This window comes from Homo sapiens, chromosome 20, assembly GCF_000001405.40.
Source record: "Homo sapiens chromosome 20, GRCh38.p14 Primary Assembly".
NCBI classification, from domain to species: domain Eukaryota; kingdom Metazoa; phylum Chordata; class Mammalia; order Primates; family Hominidae; genus Homo; species Homo sapiens.
This window is the reverse complement of record NC_000020.11, coordinates 51,386,613-51,407,632: the sequence shown is the minus strand read 5'-3', so window position 1 is coordinate 51,407,632 and position 21,020 is coordinate 51,386,613. Positions and strand designations below refer to the sequence as shown.

The 21,020-nt window shown below is 47.2% G+C and overlaps 1 protein-coding gene and 1 long non-coding RNA gene across 11 annotated transcripts in view, besides 2 other annotated features; one reads left to right on the top strand and one right to left on the bottom strand.

The window, feature by feature from the left end:
- Positions 1 to 20,670, top strand: part of NFATC2 (nuclear factor of activated T cells 2) — a 175,877-nt gene extending 155,207 nt beyond the window's left edge. For 5 of the 9 annotated variants that reach the window (NM_001258295.2, NM_001258292.2, NM_001258297.2 and 2 more), the window contains one exon: positions 16,182 to 20,670. In NM_001258295.2, the coding sequence (NP_001245224.1) occupies positions 16,182 to 16,237 (56 nt within the window). In that variant the 3' untranslated portion in view covers positions 16,238 to 20,670. Of the gene's footprint in view, positions 1 to 8,902; positions 8,991 to 16,181 lie in introns of all 9 variants that reach the window. The other 4 variants (NM_001258294.2, NM_001136021.3, NM_001258296.2 and 1 more) reach the window with 1 other exon arrangement.
- Positions 2,587 to 2,746: an enhancer, noted in NCBI's record as "active region_18110". NCBI's record gives its function as "activates an Ori minimal core promoter by ATAC-STARR-seq in GM12878 lymphoblastoid cells {active_cell/tissue: GM12878}" and the evidence as "EXISTENCE:reporter gene assay evidence [ECO:0000049][PMID:35858748]".
- Positions 6,718 to 7,187: an enhancer, noted in NCBI's record as "active region_18109". NCBI's record gives its function as "activates an Ori minimal core promoter by ATAC-STARR-seq in GM12878 lymphoblastoid cells {active_cell/tissue: GM12878}" and the evidence as "EXISTENCE:reporter gene assay evidence [ECO:0000049][PMID:35858748]".
- Positions 10,644 to 21,020, bottom strand: part of LOC105372663 (uncharacterized) — a 30,555-nt gene continuing 20,178 nt past the window's right edge. For both annotated transcript variants that reach the window (XR_936848.3, XR_007067650.1), the window contains exon 3: positions 10,644 to 10,896. This is a non-coding gene — a long non-coding RNA (uncharacterized LOC105372663). The remainder of the gene's footprint in view (positions 10,897 to 21,020) is intronic.

Genomic DNA, 21,020 nt, shown 5'->3' with positions numbered 1-21,020 from the left:
CAGGAGTGCAGCATGAGCAAGAGCTCAGAGGCACTGTCTCCTCCTTTGTGACCATGAAGCGTGATTCCCAGTTTCCTTGGAATCTGCTCTACAGAGCTGAGGACTACAGCACCCGATGTCCACAAGATGAAGTCAGCACTGGGTTGCCAATACCCGGAAGCCATAGTCGGTTCATTTATTTGTCCATTCTTTCGCTAAATCATTCATTCATCCAACAGCCGTTTATTGCTCACTGCTGGGGCTAACACAGTGAAGAGGCTCAAAGTCCCGGCCCTCCTACAGCTTGCAGTTTGAAAATATAAATGATAAAACTGGGGGTGCCAAGTGTTCTGTTGGAAGAGAAAAGCAGGCTGGGGGACAGGGCATGATGGGGTGGCACGGAGGCCTGCTTGCCGTTCCAGTAAGGGGAGCACCTCAGGGGAGGTGGCATTTGAGAAGAGGTCTTATCAAGAGAGCCCTCCAAACGTCTAAGGCAAGAGCAGCAGTCCAAGTAGAGAGAACAGCAGGTGTCTAAGGCAAGAGCAGGAGTCCAGGTAGAGCGAACAGCAGGTGCAAAGGCCCTGGGGCGTGAGCAGGCTTGACGTGAATAGCGTATACTAAGGAAGACTGTGGACTAGGGGAGAGTGAGGGAGAGAAGCAGATCATCTTCAGTCTTAAAGGCCAAGTGGGATCCCTGGGTCCTGACAGTGGGTGGGTGCTGGCAGGCAGCTAGGGAGAGTCAATCAAGATGGAATTCCGACGAGGCGGCCAGCAAGTGGTCATAACACCCAGGCTTCTGCTGTGGAAGCCACTGACTCCTGTCACCCTTGGAGGTGACCTGAATTTCCCTTTCAGACAGGCGCCGCTATGGAGCTAAGATGTCACACCCTCTCTAGAGAGGATGGCTTACGTGGGCTGCAGATGCCCCCAGGCCCCAAGCCAGAGTCAGACTGATACCACAGGAAGGCCTGGGCTCTGTGAGGTCTAGAAACCCCGGTTGCTGGTGGGTTTGTGGGAATTGAGCCTACGTTTTCCCCTTCTGCTGGAGAACATTGCCAATGGAAGCAAGCCGGGGCGCCTCCAGTCATTCCTCTGCGCAGCCCAGGCCTTGGCTTTAACTCTTGTAATACACCAGCACCATTTCACCTTTTAGATGTGTACCGGGCTTGGCATAGTGGTCCCGAGGGGGCCAAGCCGCTCTTTGCTTCTTAAATCTCAGTATCTGCTCCCCGCCACAGGTTACCCAAAGCTAACAACGATGCCAACACTGTCACCCCCATTTTTCTTTGTGTACCATGTGGGTGATTTCTACTGCCCAACCCTGATAAAAGCTAGGGTCTCCCAAGGACCAGTGTTTGTGCTGAGCTGCATTCAGAGAAGCGTATTCTTGTTGCCAGGTGGTAAGTGAAAACGAATTTCTATCTACAAGTAGCCTGAGCCACACTGCTCTGCCACATAATAGCTGCAGAGCCTGGGTTTGTTACTCTTTCGGAGACTTGGTTTCTTCAGCTGTGTAATGGGGGCAGTCAATACCTACTTCATGGGATGACCGTGAGGATTAACAACATATATATGTAGGCTGGGTGTGGTGGCTCACACCTGTCATCCCAGCACTTTGGGAGGCCAAGGCCAGCGGATCACCTGAGGTCAGGAGTTTGAGACCAGCCTGGCCAACATGGTGAAATCCTGTCTCTACTAAAAATGCAAAGTTTAGCCGGGCATGGTGGCGGACACCTGTAATCCCAACTACTCAGGAGGCTGAGGCAGGAGAATCGCTTGAACCTGGGAGGCGGAGGTTGCTGTGCTCTGGGAGACAGTTGAAAGCCAGACCTGATCGGAAAAATTCTGGGCAAGTCCTATCAATTAGGAGGTGGTAGTTATTCTTTCGCCCAATCATTCCTCCTTGAGATTTTTACTGAGCACCTACTATGTGCTGGGCTCTGTCCTAGGTGCTGGGGATACAGCAGTAGATGAGAGAGATGAGGTCTGTGCCTTAATGAGGGTATTACCAACCAGTGAGAGGTTGGTGTTAAAATGTCACGGGTTTCAAGATACGGGGTTCTGTGATCTGATTCATGCTACTCCCTCCCAAAACACCAGGGCCACAGGAGCCATGCACAGCTGAAAGGCAGTGCCTATGAAAGCTTGCCTATCTGATGCCAAGCTTCTACGAACATGGCACATGCAAACAGACCTGCTGGTGAGGCACGGTGAGATGACACGTGTGAGGTCATGGCGCCTGCACACCCACAGTTCCCTGGGAACTCGAGGTGAATGTGTTTGCCTGCCTCACATCTTCCTGAGTGGTGTCTCCAGTCCCGAAGAGCAGCCTCTGGTACTGCTCTGTTGGCCTCGCGTTGCATGTGGATCTGGGGTTTGAAAGGCATCATTGAAGTCTAGTGGTGGAGGGTGGGTTGGGGGAGGACTAGGAGGATGTCTTACGGTCCCTGGAAGCTAATTTGGGGGGCATGTCCTGTCTGGTGTTGCTTGGCTGGCGTCTGATGCATTTCTCTTCCAGGAGCTCAACTCGAAGCAGGTGGCTCCTCTTGCCATCTTGGGGCTTGGTGCCTTCCTGGCCACAAACTGATCTGCCAGTGACATGCTCTCCTCCCAGTGAGCCCCTTTTACTAGAAACCAGAGTCTCAGAATCACCATGTCTACTCATCCCAAGAGCTGGGGACAGTTTGGCACGTGGTGTGGCATCTTTCTCGTAAGCCCCAAGGTCTTGCTCATAAAATGGCTGGTGGCAGGGTGCTTGTGAGTCTGCTGTCTGGGCTGGTTTCCGGAGGCCTCTGGTTTGCAGAGAGCGTCAGTGACTCACGCTGCTCTGCAGGTCGCCGGCCCAAAGCTGTCTGCGCACACTAGGGCGCAGTGAGGCCTGGGAGGGGCCCCTCTCAGCAGGATGTGAAAATGCATCTCTGAGAGCATGGCTGATCTCAGCCCTGCCCATTCTGAAAATGCAGAAATAGCTTCAAAGGTGAAAGTGCTTTGGTGGAAGAGGGTGGACTGGCCATCATCAATTCAGTCTGTTAACAAGCATCCTCTGTGTGAGGGCTGAGACACACTGCTGCTGCTAATAGAAAGAGCTGCTACTTTTGGTTATTTCTTAGCTTGGCATAGTGCCATATATATGCATTCCCATATTACAGATGAGAAAAACTGAGACTCGAGGACTTAAAAGATTGGCTCTGATTCCCAAAACAAGTAATGTGGTACAGAGTTCTTATGATGTGCCTTGCATGTTTGAAGAACTTTGCATGCATTGACTCAGATTCTCTCTAAAAGCCTTAGAAGCTGGGAATAGTTTTTGCCCACCTTTAACAGAGGAGGCACAGAAAGGGTTAGGATTTGCCTCAAGTTCTATGAAAGGATGTGGCAGAGCTGGGATTTGGACCCCAGCTGTCTGTGTGTCCCTGGGACTCTGACCCCAGGGTGTGAGCCCCTCGCCAGGACAGCTGAGAAAGGGAGGAGCTGTTGGCTGCAAGAAACAGAGATTTGGGCCTGATCATGGGCAGACAAGCAGGATTCAGATGCAGAGGAAAAAGAGGGCCTCCTAGGCATCAGCCAAGCGACACAAAGGTGTGGCGGTGGGGATATCAGGGTCTGCTCCTTGTTCAACCCCTGCCACGGACCAGCCATGGGATGCTGGACCTAAAATAGAGGGATGTCTGCTTACCTGAACCTCGATGACTTCACTGGCCAGATGCCTACCTCGTGAGCATAGACCGAGACTTTGGAGAGGAATGTACTTTGGGGACTGTGTCAGTCAGCTCGGGCCACATAACAAAATATCATAGACTTAGTGGCTTAAACAACAGAAATTTATCTTCTCACAATTCTAGAGGCTAGCAATCCAAGACCAGGATTCTGGAGAATCCTGTCAAGATCAGGTTCTGGAGAGGACCTGCTTAGGTCCTGGCTTGCAGACAGTCACCTTTTCTCCCATTGTGTTCTCCTGTGAGACAATGAGACTGACCTCTGGTGGCCCTTCTTCTTAGGCCACTAATTCCATCACGAGGGCCCCACCTTCATGACTGCACCAAGTCCTAATTATCTCCCAAAGGCCCCATCTCCAAATACCATCACAGAGTGGTTTAGGGCTTCAATATAGGAATTTGGCTGGTGTGGTGGGGGCATAACTTAGTGTGTAGCAGGGACTGTATAGGTGAAAGGTTTGATCAAGGGGTGAATCAGGAGTGAAGGTTCTGTCTGCCTGTTCTGGGAACTACTGTCTTTTAGGAACACCTGGTGCAGTGTCACCCATGAATACAGTCCTTGCTGGTCACTCCAGGTGGCCTTTGAGATGATAGCAGTACGTGCAAGGGCCACGCATGTGGATCTCACTTGGAGAAATTTAAGACAGAGCCTGGTCCCTACTCAGATCTTGAGAAATTTCTTTGCAGGAAGCCTAGTGGCTTCTCTTGCCTGTGAATCTGGAAGGTATGGAGGGAGTATGGTTGACATCTCTTATGGGAAATCCAAGACTTAAAATACAAAAGATAGATCCAAAGGTTTGTGGAAGAAACTGTGACATGGCCAGGGATGCCTCTGCTTCCAGGACGTGCGCTTGAGTTGGGCTTCGGGAGAATGTGGATGTGTTGGGGGGAGGTGTGTCCCATGTTGGGCCTGTGCTGTGAGCTGGTCCTGGCATATGTGGGTAAACATAGAATGATCTGGAAGGTGAACTTATGGGAGGGCGAGATGGAGACTGGACTGGAAATTCAATAAATATCCAGTGAATTCTTTCTAAGAATCAGGGGCCATGTTGGTATTTGAAGAAATATCTTTATGAAGCCAGGCCAGGGGTTTTGCCCCTTCTCCCAGAAGAGGGGGAGGTTTTGCATGATTCTGTGACATGAGCAAAGCAAGTTAGGGTGGAAATCTTTCTTACTGCTCCCACCTGCTAATCCACCTGGGAGTGTCTGACCTGCTTACAATTCCATCTCTCTTGGATAAGCAAAGAGGCATATACTCAAATGTCTTAAAAGAAATGTTTGGTTAATTCCTCTAACCCCCAGAGGGGGTTTATGGTATATGTCTTCCCCAAAACTCAGGTATTTATTTTATTATCTCATTTGTGATCACAGGCTGATTTGTGGGTTTGAATTACTGTTTGTTTCCTATGTCTCAATTCAATATAGTAACAAGTGCTTTTCTTTTGCCTTTTTTTTTTTCCAAAGGCAGCAAGTTATTTTGCAGGGCTTGTGCTGTTGGCTGATGTTTCTTAGCAGAGGGTTGGGGCCGAGGTGGTGATGAACTGGCTGAAGGACAAGGAAGTAAACTGTGGTTTGTTTAGAATGCTTTCCTGCCTGTGGTTGCTACTTTAGAAGCCGTGTGGTTGCTTGATAGGAGAGGTGCAGCTTAGTTGCATGTAATCAGAAGAAATTCTGCTGAATTGGAGAATAGAAATGGGCAGTTCAGGTCTGAGTTTACACAGTTGGTTAGTCCTTCCTTGTCGGGCAGCTTAGTTGAGAAAGTCACCAATTGTTTCTCCGTAGATTGTAAGTTGATGTGCAATCATTGCAAAAAAGCAGACAATGGAGATGATGGTAGCATATTCTACACTGGCTAGGAGGGGACATCTGACTTGCATTGTAGAAACACAAAACTGGACGTCCCTTAGACCAGTGCCTGATTCCCATTGGTTCCACCACGGAGATGCACGCAGGGTTTCCCTTAAATTCCATCCCATTCAAACGTGCATGCCTGTGAGCTCAGAAGTCTGGGAAGCTAGTTGTATATTTGTCAAGGAGACAGATTCTTGGGTCTGTACTTTTGTCTGTAATGGCTATTTGTTGACACCTTGTGTTTTTATGAAAATTATCACCATTGATTAAGCTCATCAGTGAACCACTTCTAATTTACATCTTAAATTATCACCTAGTCCATAGGATCAGTGGGATGACTCACCAGTTTATGCCTGGGGTAAAAATGCAAGGCCACTGTATAGGTCTTAGGCTGTAACCTTGTATTAGGTTGGCGCAAAAGTAATTGTGGTTTTTGAGGTACCCCTGTGTCTTTGGGAGGATTTGTAGATGACACTTAGGGACCATGTAGTAAGTCTAAATACTGCCTTTTCTCTTGACGTCCGCATCTCCATATTACTGACAACTGACCAGCACATTCACGTGGATCAATGGACTTACCTCCCATTTAAATATGTAGGGAAACAGAATGGTATCCTTGGTTATTGGAATGGCCTCTTTTAGACTGGTCTTTGTCTCTTTCTCTTCCATCTTCTTTAGGGGACCATATTGTGGGCTTAATAAACACATGCCAATGAGCCAGCTATAGCATCTCATTTATTTTTATTTTTTTGAGACAGTCTTGCTCTGTTGCCTAGGTTGGGGTACAGTGGCACCATCTCAGCTCACTGCAACCTCCGCCTCCCAGGTAGCTGAGGTTACAGGCACCTGCCGTCACACCCAGCTAATTTTTGTATTTTTAGTAGAGACGGGGTTTCACCATATTGGCCGGGCTGGTCTTAAACTCCTGACCTCAAGTGATCCACCCACTTCGGCCTCCCAACGTTCTGGGATTACAGGCATGAGCCACTGTGCCTGGCCTATAGCATCTCATTTAATCCTCAGTGACTTTGCCAAGGAAGTGTTCTCATCCCCATCTCGTGGCTGGGGAGACTGAGGCAGAGGCACTGTTGAAGTGCTTATGTTCCAACAGCTTCTGATGTGAGTCTACATTTTAACAGAGGCCCCAGGGCAGCCAGAAGATCTTTCAAATTGGGGAAACCCTAGCCCAGGACTAGTACCCATAGAGCTGGGGCCACATCTGGTCTCTACCCAATGCTAGGAGGCTGTTCCTGGACAAGTCGCCCCATCTTTCTCTGCCTTACTAACTTGACCTGAGAAATGGAACTCTCACCACCACCCCCGGAGATGTCTGTGAGGATGAAGGAAGGCAGAGCGAGTAGCCACCTGCGGAGGAGGGTGTTTGGCGGTGGCCTGGTCCCGAGTTGATTTCGGGCCTCAGTTGAATGAAGACAGGCCCTGCCTCTGTCTTCCACAAAGAAGCTGACAAAGAGTGAAACTCTATGACTAAACAGGAAGCTGCACCTCCGAATGCTGCAGACGGAGCCATCATGTGATGCTTTCTATTTCTCTGAGAAGGTGACAGAACAGGGCTTGGTTTCTCGAGTCCCCTGAGATAGCGCCATTGTGCCCCCCCACCCCCCATATTAACACTGGGCACCATGTGGTTTGGTGTTTGAAGGTTTGGAGAGAGAACTCGTGTTCTGGGTGGATGGTCTGAAGAACCTGGTCCCTGGGGTTCCAACTAGATTCGAACGACTCCTCCAAGGGTGTGACTTCAGACCTGTGCCTGATGCCTGAGATCCACTGAAGTGCTCCTTAAATGAGTAGATATGGATAAAGTGACAACGTGTTGGTCATTACAGAACTTTAGAGCTGTCAGCTGAGCAAAACAGGGAGTGGCGTGCTCTAACATCAGTTCCAACAGGATCACCTTGCTGTAGGGCCGGGGTGGCAGTGGAGGTTGTTGGTTTCTGGCTACCTGGGGTAAATCCAGAAGCATGTATGGGTGGGTGGGATGTGGGCTGTGAACAAGGAGTCAGGGAACACACAGGTTGGCCTGAACAACTGGAAAGAGAGAATGTGTGTTTCCCATCATGGGAACAGGTGAGACACGGGGAGGAGGGGTGAGGATCCAGAGATTGGTTTTGGCCCTGTGAAGTTTGGGCAGGTAGATATTGCAATCTGAAATTCAGGAGTGATGGTCTGGGTTAAAAACATTAATGTGGCCATCGTCAGGATAGAGGTGGTATTTTAAGGCCCTGAGTGAATTATCCGACAGTACTGTCTGCTCTTGGACTTGGAAGAAGTCAGTTTCAAGTGGAGACTGGGCAGTTTAGTGTGGGAGCTGCCTTAGGGCCACATCCACCTGGAAATGTTTGCTTTGGGAGATGGCCTGAGATGCATGGTCAGAAAAGGAGGAGAGATGAAGTGCTTCTTTTGCCCCAGGGCAGCAGTAGCCAACCCCAACTAGCCAATTCCTGTTGGAGCCCAACATTGGGAAATCCAGGCCTCTAACTGCATAAGCGCTGAAAGGATCTCATTTATTGAGCATTCTGTCTCCCTTGAAGATGAGATTTCAGGGAGCTTATGCCTCTATTTGAAAAAGCATCCTAGTTTACTTGACATTTCTAATAACGCTGCATTATTCCCTGTAAGAAATTGGACTCAGAAAACATTTCTAAATCAGGCATTTGGAATGGACTTGGGTATTCCAATTCGGCCAAAGGGGATTGGGAAGACAGGTGTTTTGAAAGCCACAGGCATTGTACACATGTAGAGAGGAGTATTATTTACAATAGACTCCCCAGGTCTCATTCAAGTGCCTTCGTTGTTCTGATAGGGCAGGAGCTTTTTTTTCCATTGTTGACAAAAAACAGGAAGAAAATGTGCAGTTTTATGAATTTCCCTGACCACTGAGGTGATATCACTAGTAAGAAGGAAACTGGGGCCCAGTTTAGTATCTGTAGATGCCTGAAGGAAGATAACAGTTGAGTAGATCTTTAATGAAATTCTGATTTTCCTTTGACTGCAGCAGAAACCAGCTTAATTTTCTCTTTGTAGTTGGCCATGATTTGAAACCCCATCACATACCCACAGCAGCCCTTTTGTCCACCCTGAACACGCTCCCCTGATCCCACACCCCACATAATGTAATGCACTTTGCACAGAGTCCCTCATCTCCATGATTATTACCCTAGTGTTGGGTTAATTCTGGCACAAATGCTAAGATGTTGCAGAATTCTGGCTTAAACTAGAGCCAAAGGGTTAAGTTCCCTCCTGGGCTTGGATGATATCGGCATGAGTTGGAAGCGTAAGAGAGATCAAAGGTGATTTTTTTTTTTCTTCTCAAAAATGATTTTGCAAATCTTTTTCAGAGCTGATAGACACACACCTTAGCTGGATACAAAACATATTATGAAACAGAATGACTGTGATCTTTGATCCGAGAAATCAAAGTTAAAGGTAATCGATATCTTCTGCTTCTCCTTTTGTTTTCCAGCTGTGTGTTTCCTTAACTTGAATTTTTTTTTTTTTAAGTAAAGTATAAGAAAACTTGACAGGCTGAAGGCCCTCTCTTCTCATTCTCCTGCTCTTAAGGGCTAGACCCCTCCACTCCTGAAGTGGACACTCCTGGGGACCTCCCTGAGAATCTCAGGGTTGGGCGGGAGAAGGGGGGATGAGGCCCCATTAACTTGCATGCTCCCCGATTCCAGGGCTGGCCTGCGTGGAAAAATGCAGCAACGTCTTTGGAGCCTGCTCCTTTTTGGTTTTGCACACTTTGTTGTGGGTGTCCAGTTAAATGAGGCTCTCCATCCGTGGTGGGTGTCCGGCACTGGGGAACAGCAGAGTGGGCAGGGAGGTCCGAAAACCTACCTAAGAAGCCACTGAGGAAGCCCCGCCCTGTGCTTAGGTCATTTCCAATCCTGATTCCCTCCACTCAAGGTTTCAGCTCCTCCCGGGGGGCTTCCTTGTTGTGGCTTTTGAAGTCGCAGGATTCTGCTACTTGGTTTCTGGATTTGAAATCAGCCCCTTGGAACTGAGTTTCCCAGGGTGCTCGGCTGAGCCCCTCACCCAGCAGATCCACCTCGATGGGCCTCCACAGAGGAGCCTGGCCGCTAAGAAGACCTTATCGTGCAGGTTTCAGGAGGCCCTGGGGTGTGAAGTCCAGATGAGACATTGAGGAAGGAAGGTTGCATTACCTCTCTGTGCCTCAGCTTCTTAGATGCTGTTGCTGTTATTTAATCTTCTCCATATTCTAATCGGAATAAACCAGCACACACAGTGCCCAGCCCATCTTAGAGTTTATATTAGTACACCCAGGGGAGCTGACGCTTGAGAAGCATGATTGCCAGAGGATGGGGCCTGCTGAGATGAACCCCTACTTCCCTATGGCAGAAGGAAGCCCTGGGGGGAGGAGCACATTCTCCAGCCATCTGCCACTGTCCCTCCTCAGGACTTTTTGCATCTGAGGAATCGGCTCCTGGGGAGTCCCTCAGGAGTGTCCTCAGGACTTTGCATCCGAGGATAAAAATGCAAGTAAAATATCAGTGCTGAGGTTGTAAGCCCCCCAGGGAACTTGTCGAAGGGCGATGCCTTTTTAATGTGTGTCTTGGGCTTGGGGACTTTGGCAAGCCAGCGGCTCAGGCCTGTGGCTGACTCTGACCAGCGTGGCCTGGGAGGGGATTTACTGCTGTTCCACCATCACTCTTCAGACCCCACCCACAGCTCTGGGCTACAGTCCTATTGAGGGTCCTATTGAGGGTTTTATGTTCTTTTCACTGAGCCTCACTCAAGTACGGCCAGGTTTCCCTGGAGAAGATGAACACTGGGAAGTTACTTAGTAAGTGTAAAGCAGAGGTCTGGGAGAGCTCTGTTTCAAGTAACAGGCCTTTTCAGTTTTGAGACAGAAGAAGTCAGAGGGGAAGGGCTGGGCATGGTGGCTCACGCCTGTAATCCCAGCACTTTGGGAGGCCGAGGCAAGGTCAGGAGTTCGAGACCAGCCTGGCCAACATGGTGAAACCCCGTCACTACTAAAAATACAAAAATTAGCCGGGCCATGGTGGCAGGTTCCCTTAGGAGGTTGAGGCAGGAGAATCGCTTGAACCTGGAGGCGGAGATGAGCCGAGATGGCGCCACTGCACTCCAGCCTGTGTGACGGAGGGAGACTCAAAAAAAAAGGCACAGGGGAGGGCTCAAGACCAGCAGGCCCGGTTGCTTAGGAAACTTACCTCTTGGCCTTCAGAGTCGCTTCCCCCTGAGAACAGTTAGGACCAAAGGCAGAAGATCCCAGAGAGGACTTCATGTGCTTTCAGGTTCATGCATCCTGACCCAAGCATGGAGGGGTCGTGGGAGTGAATTCAGCAAGGCACTGCAAGGCAGAGGAAATAGTCAGTAGTGACTGGGGGGTGGTGCCTTGGGCCCCCTCTTGGCTCTCAGATTCTTTGATTTGGCCTGGAGAATGCAGCCCTCTTGATTCCCATCCAAGCTTGAGGAGTGTCTTTCTGGCCATGGCCTTTGTGGCTGGGCCCAGGCTCTCGTGGGCACTCACGTGGTCTCACCAGATTTTGGAAAACATGCTTGAGGTTTGAGCGAGAAGCAGGACCCAGCCTATCCGTTCCTTCCTGTTGCTGCTTTCTCAGGGGATTCAGTTCCAAAGTCAGCAGTCAAAGGGAAAGGGCCTAGAGTGAGTGAAATTCACCCTTGAAAGTCCTTTAAATTGCACCTGAAGTATTAATACCTCTGGGTTGTTTTCCCCATGTAATCCTGAGCAGCCATCCTGCTGCAAACTGAAGTTTGGGAACCTCTGAGCTCTGATAAAGGAAGGAGGAGAAAGTACATGCAGGTGTCTGGGCCTTTTAGCAAAACAGAAAATTCCTAGTGCAGAATGGGATACTAACAGAAGTCAGTTTTAGCTTTTAGAAATCCAGTAAGAGGCACTGGCTTCCCCAGATTGCCACCCTCAAAAAGCAGGCAAAGAGAACACCCTGCTTTTTCTTCTTTGCCATTAGCTTATATATATATATATATATATATATATATATATATATATATATATATATATATATACATACTAGGAGCTGACAAACTACAGCTCTTGGGTCAATCCTGGCCCCCAGCCTGTTTTGGCAAATGAAGTTTTATTGGAACACATCTGTGCCCATTTGCGTACTGTCTATGGCAGCTTTTATGCTACACTGGCAGTGCTTAGTGAGAAAGAGCCCACAAAGCTGAAAATATTACCTGGCCCTTTCCAGGAGAAGTTTGTTGACCCCTGGTATATCATCATTTTGTGTCTATAGCCATTTTTATTAGAATATTAATATCCTTCTTACTGAGTTGAAACACCTCTTTATATATAAATGACTTTGTCATATATACTGAAAATGTTACAGCATGTTTTGTGCGTAATTTTTACATAAGATCGGTTCACTTTTTCCTTTCCAGTTGCAGGCTTAGTAGTCACCCTGAGATCATTCTCCATCAGTCTTTTAGGGCACCTCTGTGAGATCATTCTCCATCAGTCTTTTAGGGCACCTCTGTCTAAGGATGAGCACAGGCCAAGAGCACCATGGCAGACTCACAACTGCTGGCCTCAATTGTGTTCTGAGAAAGGGACACTTTCTCCAGCAGAGCACTTGCCTTTGTCACACGGCCTCTCTCTGCTGGCTAAGCAGAGTCTGCCATAGCCGTCCCCTGACTTCACGCAAATGACACAGAGGATTCTGGGATCCCCAAAAGAAAGAGGATCAATACCGTACAAGTTAATTAAAGGATCAATACCATACAAGTTAATTAAATAGGCTCTGAGTTCAAATCCCAATCCCCTGTCACCTGCTAGGGAGAGTATTGGTCTGCCTGTCTCTATTTCCCCATCTATAAAATGGGGATGATGACGTTACCTAGGAGCAGTGTGAGAATTAAATAATAGTCCCTGGCACTGTATAGGGCCTGGCACACAGCTCTCAGGAAATGTGAATGGCTCGTATTCTTTCATAGAGAGAAAGACTCCAAACAAGTAACAGATCAGCAACCCATTTGTCAATCGCATGAAAATCAGCTTCCTTAAACCAAGGGACCTAGACTGATGGTGCAGGGTCTTTGGGGTGGGCTAATGCAGGCATTAAGCACCTGCTGTGTGCATGGTGCCATGCACGAGTGGGGCTACTTGGAAATTTAGTACTTGCTTTTGGAGCGAGTGAGGGCACCATGGCAGGAATGTGGGGCGGCTTCCAGGAAGAGGCAGAACACTGCACGTGGCCCCATTTGGGAACAGGTAGGAGGAGAGGTACAGTTGCTGGCCTAGGGTAGATTATTGGAGGAATAAAATGTTGATGGCAATAATACAGGAGAGTGGTTCAGCACCCAAACCTCAGAGGCCGACTTGGGGAGGACAATCCTGACTGTGACCTGAAGTTTCCCAATCCCTTTCTAAGCTTCTGTGTTCTGTTCATAAATAAATGTTATTGAGTACTTCCCATGCACCAAGGCATCATCTAAGGGATATGGGGGGAAGGAGAGCATCAGCGCAGCAGGGGATAGTGAGGAGACAGGAGTGCGACTGGGCTGGGGGTGGCCACCAAGGGGGGCTTTGCCAAGGAGGCTGTTTGAGCCTTGGGTAACATGAGCGAAAAGGAAAAGTGTTAGACTGGGGAAAACATGATGCTACCCAGAGGAGCAGCGTGAGGAAGGTGAGACAAGAGGAGGGAACAGTGCTGAGGGGGGACAGACAGAGACCAGGAGAAATGGCATGGTGAAAGGGCACTGGGGTTCCCCTGCACCCTGGTACTCGAGTCTGCAAATGTGGGACCTGTGGACCCTGCATGAAGTGGTTGAGCAGAGACCCCCCTCTCAGAACTTAAAGCCCAGTGTGGCTCTACTCTGTCACCACCACCTAGCCGGCATTTCTGTTCTAGAACTTTCTCCTTGTTGGCAGTCAGGGGAACAAGTGCCGACATTTCAGAAAGAGGAGGTTCCTACCCAGAGAGGTTTGGGCGGCAGTTGAACTCAGGGCCACTTCACCACCCCCAATAGCAAGAAGGTCTAAGTGCATAGGGTCACTGAATTTTCCAGATGCAACTCTTCACTTCTATCTGAAAGTAACTCCCAGAAAGCAGGACCATTTCCATCAGCAGGACCATTTCCATCCAAGAAGAGGGAAACATGCTTCTGCCTGTTTGAAAAGTTTCCCTACTTCCCATCCCCTGCCCCAGCCCTGTGTTCTGAGAAGGGAAACAGCCCTTCGAGAGGGCCTTGGTGCCAGCGTCTCTGCCTACCAGCTAATTTTAGAAAGCTGAGGCTGTGGAAAGTTTTCATTAAGGATCCCCTCCTCTCACTTCCTAGGTTGAGAAAACAGGAAGCCCTTTGGAATCCGGGCTTTGAAAAGCTTCACATGAAGCTGCCCCGACCCCACCTGCCCCGGGCATTTGGCTTTCGCTACATAAGTCCTACACAGCATGGTCAGCTTATCACCCCTGCAGGGAGCACTGAGGGTCTGGGCTGACAGTCCTTATTCAGCTTCTGGTTTAGGGCCCCTGGGAGTCAGCTGTTACCCAGTACACAGTAGATGCCCAACTAGTGCTGGTTAGCTAAATATATGAATTTGTCCTCTACATTCCTATTAATGAATCCGTTTCCACATGTTGGAAAAGTTAAGTTATACATAATGTATGTATTTCTAATACATATCTAATACATATATACTGGTCTACAAACCAATACTGGCTGAACGCTGGGCACTGTGATCTTTACTTGCATTATCTCATCCAAGCACCTCAGCAACCTGGGAGGTAATATTTTTAGATGCAATTTACAGATGAGGAAACTGAGGCACAGAGTGGTTTTGTCACCAAGGCAAGGTTCACCAAGCAAGGAAGTGGCAGAGGTGGAAATCTAACCCCGCTGGCTCCAGAATCCGACCTCTCATGTACATGCTTGTGGCATGCCTGATGTTCTGGCACAAAACAAAGCCAATGTTTGCAAAGCACGGAATTCAGAGTCCAACATGAAGCATGGGGATTTTACTAACCATCATAACCACCAGCTATTGAACACCAGGCACTGTGCTGGGCACTGTTACCTATGTGAATGCTTAGCATCCTCACAACAGCCTGAAAAGGTATGTGCTATGATTCCCACTTTACAGATGAGAAAATTGAGGCACGGAGAGGTAACATCATACAGTCAGAGAACGAGCTGAGAATCAAACCCGGTTCATTCAGCTCTTTGCATTCCCCGACTCTGTTATGGAGGTTGCAAACCATCTGGGCAGGGGTTTTCCAGCGAAAAGCACCCTGAACCTAGAAGGGCCCAGCTTTGACCATGGAGAAACTTCGGGCAACTCTGAACATTTAACCCTCACTGCCAATGTAACTTAAGGCTAAGGTGAGAAAAGGAAGTATGAGGAGGTGTGGGAAGAATTCAGTGTCAGAACCAGGAAATGGGAAATGAACCTGCCTTTGATGGGACTCCCAAAGGGGTCTACAGCCTCATGCCTTCCACCCCACGACTAGTCAGTATGGTCTACCTGTAAAACTGAAGGTGTAGACATACCTTAGGGAGCATGCCTCATGGATGGGCTGTCACCAATAGCACCTTCTTCTTTCCAAGAATGTTTTAGGGAACCTTTTTGCAGGATCCACTATCCTAAGATCTCAGTGCCCTAATTCTAGTAATTAGTACCTTACCCAGTGGGCAAAGTGGGAGAAGGTAGCTTGCTTCCTGATGCCAGTGACTGTTACTGCTCTTGGTTCCCTGCTAGGAACTCCACACATACTTCTGGGGAGAGGGGTGACCAAACTTTCCTGAGCTGGCACATGATCCTTCAACTGGTTGTGCTGAAATGGAAACTATGTTTATGTTGATGGCTAGTCAGTCTTTGGGGGGCCCTCACTTGCTCTCTTTGTAAGGGTTCCTCTTTTGAGAACCGTAAGTTTTATGGATCAAGAAAGAACCATGTTTTATCAGACTTAATCATGTAATAGGCATTTTCTAGATGTGGAAATAGTGGAAGTAGTTTGGTACACAATAGCCTCAAGCATGACATCAAATGCAGAAGAGGAGAAAGTTACTTCAAACATGCCCTATGGCTCAAATCCATTTTTCCCACAAAGATTTCCATTTCTGCCACAAAGATTTGAAAAAGTTACCATTTGAGCAATTTTCACTAACAGATCTTTAGCAAAAAATATTGCCTGAAGAAAATATGATATAGGAAAGCATTCCTTATATTAAAAATTGTCAAATATACAAGCACAAGGAACAACAACAAAAAAAGTATTTAAAAAAAATAGAGATGGGCAGAATGGTTCATGCCTGTAATCCCAACACTTTGGGAGGCTCAGGTGGGAGGATCGCCTGAGCTCAGGAGTTTGAGACCAGCCTGGGCAACAGAGTGAGACCCTGTCCCTACTAAAAATTTAAAAATGTAGTCAGGTGTGGTGGCGTGCACCTGTATGTAGTCCCAGCTACTCGGGAGGCTGAGGCTGCAAGGAGCCATGATCATGCCATTGCACTCCAGCCTGGGTGACAGAGCAAGACCTTGTCTCAAAAATCAATAGCCCAATAGAGGTTCTAGAAAGTGAACCTGATGCATGTTTTCGGTGCCCTCTCACTTGCCCCATTCTCTCTCCCCCCCCCTCCTCTTTTCTTTTGTAGTTAATGAAATTATCAGGAAGGAGTTTTCAGGACCTCCTGCCAGAAATCAGACGTAAAAGAAGCCATTATAGCAAGACACCTTCTGTATCTGACCCCTCGGAGCCCTCCACAGCCCCTCACCTTCTGTCTCCTTTCATGTTCATCTCCCAGCCCGGAGTCCACACGCGGATCAATGTATGGGCACTAAGCGGACTCTCACTTAAGGAGCTCGCCACCTCCCTCTAAACACCAGAGAGAACTCTTCTTTTCGGTTTATGTTTTAAATCCCAGAGAGCATCCTGGTTGATCTTAATGGTGTTCCGTCCAAATAGTAAGCACCTGCTGACCAAAAGCACATTCTACATGAGACAGGACACTGGAACTCTCCTGAGAACAGAGTGACTGGAGCTTGGGGGGATGGACGGGGGACAGAAGATGTGGGCACTGTGATTAAACCCCAGCCCTTGCGTTCGTTTTTCCAGGTCACAGATACAGCTCCTGTACCTTTTGAAGGCAAGGAGTTCTCAGAGCAACCAAAGGAACGTGACCCAAGAGCCCAGCTTACAGGCTGAAGAAACCCAAAACCCTCGATAGAGACAGAAACTGAACTGTCAGTCCTTAGAGCTCGCCCAGTCCATGCCACAACTGGGCCACAGCTAAAGCTTTATTTTTGAATTCTCATTCCAAAACCAAACTGTCTTGCCCAGACAAGATCACCTGTTAAGACTTCTTGGCGTTAAGTTATGACATGTATACGCGTTTGTTATTATTATTTTTTCTGCTTTAAAAGGCTGACCAGGGCACCTAGCCCTGGAGCTGTCTTGGCGAGCTGTTCTTTAACCCCTGCAGCACGCAGTCCTGCTAACACAATTTCCATAGACTTGGGGGGCTGACCCAGGCTGCAGAGAGCAAGCACCTGTCTGCTGCAGCTGTACAACCTGGATGCTTTGCAAGGTTCCGGCTTGCTTTCTTCCTAGCAGCCAGAGTGCTTTTCCGTAAAGCGGTGGAGAATCTCAAGCATGTGCATTTAATTGAGGAATAGCAGAAGGGCTAAAGCAACCAAGAAAAGAAGTGTGGGTATTTTTGTTAAGTAAAACAGCCCAAGTGCTTCTGGAGGTGGGTTTCTACCAAGATAGAGGAAAAGGGCTGAATTCCCTCTAAGTGGGACAGCCGAGCTCAGGATGTGCTTCCCAGCTTCACTGGTTAATTTGACCTGAACCTATTTAAAGATCCCTTCTGCCCCTGAAGACCTATCCGCACTCAAATTCTAACATGAAGAAATCTACTCGAATGCATCCTTTACTTTGAATGAGCTCTATTCGGTTGCATGTTATATGTGATTTCCTTCCTCCCAACTGTTTCCACTGAGCGCACCCAGTCTCCCCTAGTCTTCCTCTGTGGGTGTGATTTTTGTGATTTTTACAAACAAAACCCTTGAAGTTCTTGGCAGATGTGTTTGTTTCTGTTTGCATGTACTGCAGATACCCCAGGACAAGCGGGGGATTCATTTTTCAGCCATTCAGTTGTTTCCTCAATAATCCGCAGCAAAGTGAAAATATTCTTAGCACTCAGACTGTACTTAGAGTGTTTTCTCAGTCCAGTCTGTACAGTCTGTAGGCAGAAGGCCTCAGAAGAAAGTCATGGCCACTCAGTGCCCACTGTGGGCTTTGTAAGTCCTGGCTCTCCCGTCAAGGTTACCCAGAGGTAAAAGCTTCCTGGGAGTGGGGCCAGGTGTGTTTGGCACTCCAGATAGAAGGCAAAATGCTCAGATTCGGGCCTGTGCACTTGTATGCAACCTGTCGGTCGATACCTAGCATTTATTTTTCCCTGACAATGAACGACCTTTCCCTCACCCACCCTAAGCTCAAAGAGTTTAGCAAAATTCTCTTTTAAATAAACAGAATGCCAGTAAGAGGTTGACCCCTACCATGGAACTTCTGGGATGCTAAATACTTCCTCATGAACAAAATAAGTTCCTTATTATAAGTTCCTTATACTAGCAGCTTCACCTAAAGAATTTTCTCTCCAGCAATATTGACTTCACTGGGGAAAAGCCAAGAGTGTGTGGTGAGTGATTTGTTCTCACTCGACCTGGCTAGGACTGGCTAGGAGCTGTTTTTTGTACATGAGGGAATTTGGGCTTTCCTCAGTTATCTGAATGTTTTACCCAAGTGCCTTCCTGCTATTGTAGCAAAGTAGCTCAGCTTCCTTGTCCACAGGGTGAAAAAGGACTAATGCATTTTCCATCAGTTTTCTAACTATGTTAGCAAAAACGGCCTCCTGGTAGCTCAACCTCCTGTACGCGTGTGTGTGTGTAATACACACACAAATAAACCCCTCTGTTTTTCTAAGACATCTTAGCTGGATATTATAGGAAGCACTTTCATAAACAACTGTAACAAATCGCAAAGGAAAGAGAAACAAAAGCATTAGATTTGAGACATAAACAGGCAAGAGAAAGTGTATTAGGAACTGACAGCTATCAAGGAAGTTTTGTCAGTTACAAATGCTAGGAGGAAATTTTGCCAAGAAGGATGGCTCATGAAATATTTCCAGTACGGGAAGAGGCAATAAGATCCTCTAAGAGAATGAGAAAGTAGGGGTGTCTAAATGGTAAAGATGGGTGTGTTGCACGTGTGTTAGAAGGATCTCAGTTGAGTGAAGGTTTGCACTGCTACATCTAAGTTAATGTAAATATGTAGCACTCTGACAGGTCTACCGTGTTGCTGAATGTAGTATATTTCCAAAGTTTGCAAGTCTTCCTGTATTGTACAAAGATGCTGCTGCTTGATAATATGTATAGCAATCCAGATTAGTATGTTATTAAATTTTATTTTCTTACCTGTATTTTTATGCTTTTTACCTGTCCTCAAAATATTACACCCCTGTTGGAATTAGATTTATATTTATAAATGGTCAGAAATCTTTTTAAGTGTCTCTTTTTACACATAGGTTGATTTTTTTTTCTTAAGAGAAATGATGTATTCTTGAAACATTTGTTACTCATTCCAGGAAACAAAAACCCATATAATAAAACCCCCACTCAGAGCCTGTTAGTCACCTCTCTAGAAGATGGCATCTCAGGAGAAGGAATGGCTTTGTGGAAGAAGGAATCACCTTTTTCTTGCTCAAGAATTATGCTGACTTCAGCCCTGAGCCTGGATCTGGTCACTGAGAATCATCAAGTGTCTAGATCCTCCCCCCAAAATAACTAATTTAGTAGGTGATTTTGATTTTAAAAAATTGACACCAAAACCCTGCCTGCATTGTAATGGAATTCGAAAAGAATTCATGTTCACAGAACTCAACGTTCAGGCTAATATTTACAGAAGGGACCAAATCTAAATCCTGGTAGATAACTCCTGTATGCTTTATCCAAAGGACACCCACAGTTTTCCAGCATAGATATAACCAAGGATGAATTGATTCCTTCAAAGAACTGGGAGGCACGGATATTGCATTTTTTGTTTACATCCAGTAGCCAAGACGCCTCAGTGAGCCAGTCTTGGGCAGAGGCTGTCACATTTAGGCAGATTGGAAGTTGGTATGTTCTAATTCTCACTCTGGACTACAGTGAGGCTGAATTTATCATGTCAAAAAAAAAAAAAAAAAAAGACCTTTCCAAGTGCTTTCTATTGCTCAGAATTGAAAGAATGTTTTCATTTCAAGTTTACAAGAGGCATGGATGGAGTTGTGACGTTCTTGACAAGCTGGGCTAACCTTTCCCGAACTTGTTTCCCGGAGGCAAGGTGCTCGGTGACCCAGCGCATCTTAACCTTGGGTCTCCTAGGCTCGAGGCTAGGGCATTACGTTTCGTGGAACCAAAGCAGCCAATTGCATAGCAAGTATTTTCCTGCATTCCAATTAAATGCTTAAGAAAAAGCAGCATCCTATAAAATTGTGATCATAAACATCCATTTCCCTCAGCTTTTGTGAGTGCCTTGACTTACAGCCAACATCACTGTTTAACTCAGTCTGTTTAAAAACAAACTTTTCTGGTGGTTGATAACAGAGAGTTGCTCCCTGAGCCATCAGGGTCCTGGGAGCTGGAAGTGAAAGGGTTATTAACATTCTACCTTTATGCAGCTGTTGGCTGACCAGAATAAACTCCCTGCTGAGTTCAAGCTTTGAATGGAATGGATGCAAATGATGTTGTTTCCATTAGAGCAGGTGCTCACAGCATTCTGATTGGCCTGAGCAGACCGAGGCTATGGCTGTTGGGACAAGCTTAGCATCCTGGACATCTTGTCAAAGAACCTCACTCACCCCTCTGGCCTCTACAGCCCTCAGAGGAGAGAAAACCAATTCTCCAACAAACAGGTCTCTCCAACATGGTGGTGCTGGCAGGCTTAGGTTTAGAAAATCCTGACTGTTAAAGGCGTTTGAATACATCACATTCCTATGCAAATGTTTTTAATCTCCAGTTTAATGTAGTTTATTTTTCCTATATGTAAAGTATTTTTATACGGCTTGTATCATGATAGTTTAGCAATAAAACAGTTGGAAGCAACATCTACTTTGGTGTATCTTTCTTTTCCAGAGAGGCTACTCAAATATTCCCTTTACATTTCGGGCTCCCTCAGCAAGGAACATTTTGTGTGTGTACATAAGTGTGTGCATTTACTCCTCGTCTCAGCCCTAGGAGGTAGGTACAGTCCCACCGTGCTTGTGACTCAGGCTCAGAAGCCACTTGCCGGAGGTGACAAAGCCACATGGTCAACCTGAATTTGTCTGGTTCTCTCCAGCACAGCTCTGCTGTAATCTGTGCCTTTAGACTACTTTTGAGGTAGCATTCATAAAAGAGATTTATGATGCCCACCTTAGACCAGCTTTCCAAGGGTCCCAAAGCATTCATGGTCA